General features: G+C 51.7%; 1 annotated feature.

Moving 5' to 3' along the window:
• Window positions 2,100-2,774: an enhancer, noted in NCBI's record as "H3K27ac-H3K4me1 hESC enhancer chr7:76693975-76694649 (GRCh37/hg19 assembly coordinates)". NCBI's record gives its function as "activates a minimal SCP1, AML or CMV promoter by ChIP-STARR-seq in primed H9 embryonic stem cells {active_cell/tissue: H9 hESC(primed)}" and the evidence as "EXISTENCE:reporter gene assay evidence [ECO:0000049][PMID:30033119]".

The raw sequence follows: 3,961 nt of genomic DNA on the forward strand, positions 1-3,961 counted from the left end.
GGGGTGAACCAGGAAGCACCTCCCTCTACATCTCCTTGATGAATGGGTATAATGGTTGCCATGGAACTGGGGCTTGTTTGGTGACCTGGGGCTGGGTGGGCCTCTGAGAGCCTTTATAGCTGATTGCCTTTTGGGAGAGGGCAGGTGGGAGCCCCACCCTGTCTCATGAGTCACCCCAAAGGTGCATGGGCAGGCAGGTGCTGGGGAATCGGCTACTCCCCAGAGCTTGGCGTGGCCATCCCTCTGGCCCCTCTGGGAGTCTGGAGCCCATTCCCTCACACTGGTACTCACTGCAGCTGGGGACATCTGCACTAGGAAGACAGGACACGGCATGGAAGCTGGCCTCTGCCCAGAAGCCATGACATTCTGGTCACCAGCCTGATGTTATAAAACGAGTGTCATGGCCGGGCATGGTGGCTCACACCTGTAATCCCAGCACTTTAGGAGGCCAAGGCGGGTGGATCATGAGGTCTGGAGTTCGAGACCAGCCGGGCCAACATAGTGAAATCCCGTCTCTACTAAAAATAAGAACATTAGCCAGGTGTGGTGGCACATACCTGTAGTCCCAGCTCCTCTGGAGGCTGAGGCAGGAGAATCACTTAAACCCAGGAGGCAGAGATTGCAGTGAGCCGAGACGACGGCATTGGACTCCAGGCTGGGCAACAGAGCATGACTCCGTCTCAAAAACAAACAAACAAAAAAAACGAGTGTCACCTGGGGCTACTTGGCCAGACACAGAGAGCAAGGAGACATCCCTATTATCTGTCAAAAATAATTGTTGGGGCTGAGCACAGTGGCTCATGCCTGTAATCTCAGCACTTTGGGAGGTCGGGGCAGGAGGACTTGAGGCCTAGAGTTTGAGATCAGCCTGGGCAACATAGCGAGCACCCCATCTCCAGAAAAAATTTAAAAATTGGCTGGGCGCAGTGGCTCATGCCTGTGATCCCAGCACTTTGGGAGGCCGAGGGGGATGGATCATTTGAGGTCAGGAGTTTGAGACCAGCCTGGCCAACATGGTGAAACCCCGTCTCTACTAAAAATACAAAAATTAGCTGGGCATGGTGGTGGGCACCTGTAATCCTAGCTACGTGGGAGGCTGAGGCAGGAGAATCGCTTGAACCCAGGAGGCGGAGGTTGTAGTGAGCTAGGATCATGCCATTGCACTCCAGCCTGGACAGCAAACCTAGACTCCATCTCAAAAAAAAAAAAGAAAAAGTAAAAAATTTAAAAATTAGATGGGCATGGTGACATGTGCCTGTAATCCCAGGTACTAAGGAAGCTGAGGTAGGAGGATGACTTGAGCCTGGGAGTTCGAGGCTGCAGTGAGCTCTGATCGCACCACTGCACTCCAGCCTGAGTGACACAGCAAGACCCTGCTTCAAAAAAAAAAAAAAAAAAAATTACTGGACACAATTATTGTGCCAGACCCCTAGGTTAACAGTGAGGATTCAGTGGGAGAACTAAACAGATAAACAGATCCAGTCCCCGCCCTCAGAGAGTTACAGTTTAATGGGAAAAAGAGACATTCACCAAAGAAGGACACAGCCCACTAGTGAGTTACACTCGAGAGGGATCATTTACAGAACAAAGCAGACTATAAAAATACAGCGATTGGCTGGGCGCAGTGGCTCACGCCTGTAATCCCAGCACTTTGGGAGGCAGAGGCGGGCGGATGACTTGAGGTCAGGAGTTCTCAACCAGCCTGGCCAAAATGGTGAAACCCCATCTCTACTAAAAACACAAAAATTAGCCAGGCGTGGTGGTGGGCACCTGTAATCCTAGCTAGTTGGGAGGCTGAGGCAGGAGAATGAATCGCTTGAACCCAGGAGGTGGAGGTTGCAGTGAGCTGAGACCGCACCATTGCACTCTAGCCTGGGCAACAAGAGCAAAACTCCGTCTCAAAATACATACATACATACATGCATACATACATACAGGGATTAAAATAGTCTAGTACTGACACCTGAACAGACAGATTGATCCAAGAAATGAAACAGAAATTCCAGAAGTTGACCTGAATACACACATACACACACACACACACACACACACACACACACAGGAAGGCGTGAAAGACTCCATGACCCTCAAGGTATAAGATGCATTTTTTTTTTTTTTTTGAGACAGGGTCTCACTCTGTCACCCAGACTGGATGCGGTGGTGCACTATCCCAGCTCAGCTCTACCCTCCATCCCCCCAACCTCCCCCAACCACCCTCAGCTCAAGCAATTCTCATGCCTCAACCCTCAGCCTCATGAGTAACTGGGACTACAGGCGTGCACCACCATGCCCAGCTAATTTTTGTATTTTTAGTAGAGATTGGGCGGGGTGGGGGGTGGGGTGCGGGTTTCACCGTGTGGCCCAAGCTGGTCTCAAACTCCTGACCTCAAGTGATCCTCCCGCTTCAGCCTCCCCAGGTGCTGGGATTACAGGCATGAGCCACCGCACCCAGCGGGGACAGGACAATTTTGCCAGCTGGAGAAGGGGTGGCCCCCAAATGTCCCCTTCACCACCCTCCTGCCTCTTCCTTCAGAACACTTTTTCCCTGAAGCCCTCCTGGATAGCCCCCTACCCACATGCCTCAGCATTGGGAGGTGGGGAGTGTGGGGGTCCCCCTTGCTCCTCAGCCCCATTTGGAGTAATGTCCTGTGCAGCTGAGCTCACAACTCCTCCTCCACCTGTCCCTCCACCCGGTGTCACTGGCAATTGCTCACTTCCTGGGCCTGCACCCACTCAGCTCCCCTATCCCTGGGCACCAGCCTCAGCCAGCTCCCATGTCGACTAATGACCCTTGTCCCTCCCCTCAGCTGCCTCTCTTTTTTCTTTTTTTTTGCTTTTGAGACAGAGTCTGGCTCTGTCACCCAGGCTGGAGTGCAGTGGCGCGATCTTGACTCATTGCAACCTCCACCTCCTGGGTTCAAGCGATTCTCGTGCCTCACCCTCCTGAATAGCTGGGATTACAGGCACCCGCCACCATGCCCGGCTGATTTTTGTATTTTGGTAGAGACGGGGTTTCACCATGTTGGCCAGGCTGGTCTCGAACTCCCGACCTCAGGTGATCCGCCCGCCTCAGCCTCCCAAAGTGCTGGGATTACAGGCATGAGTCAGCGCACGCAGCCCATCTTAAGCTTTTTTTTTTTTTTTTTTTTTGACGAGGTCTCTCTCTGTCATTCAGGCTGGAGTACAGTGGTGCCATCTCAGCTCACTGCAACCTCCACCTCCCAGGTTCAAGCGATTCTCCCCGCCTCAGCCTCCTGAATAGCTAGGACTACAGGCGTGCACCACCACGCCCAGCTAATTTTTATATTTTTAGTAGAGACAGAGTTTTACCACGTTGGCCAGGCTGGTCTCAAACTCCTGACCTCAGGCGATCCATGCACCTCGGCCTCCCAAAGTGCTGGGATTCCAGGCTTGAGCCACCGCCCCTGGCCCATCTTCACTATTTTTAAGTGGACAGCACAGTAGTATTAACTATATGCACATCGTTGTGCAATAGATCTCTGGAACTTTTTCACCTTGCAATACTGAAACCCTACACTCAACAAACAACTCGCTTTCCCTGCCCCGCTCCAGCCCCTGAAAACTTCTACTCTCCTTTCTGCTTCTGTGAATTGTACTATTCCAGATACCTCCCATAGGTTGAAGCAACCACTATTTGTCTTTCTTTGTAACTGGCTCATTTCACTTAGCATTATGTCTTCAGGTTTCATCCATCTTTTAGCATGTGTAAGAATTTCCTTCCTTGCTTTGTTTGTTTGTTTGTTTGTTTGTTGAGACTGAGTTTCACTCTTGTCACCCAGGCTTAGAGTGCAATGGTGCGAACTTGGCTCACTGCAACCTCTGCCTCCCGGGTTCTCTTGCCTCAGCCTCCAGAGTAGCTGGGATTACAGGCGCCTGCCACCATGCCCGGCTAATTTTTGTATTTTTAGTAGATATGGGGTTTCACCATGTTGGCCAGGCT

The sequence above is a fragment of the Homo sapiens genome, chromosome 7 (genome assembly GCF_000001405.40).
Source record: "Homo sapiens chromosome 7, GRCh38.p14 Primary Assembly".
Lineage (NCBI taxonomy): Eukaryota > Metazoa > Chordata > Mammalia > Primates > Hominidae > Homo > Homo sapiens.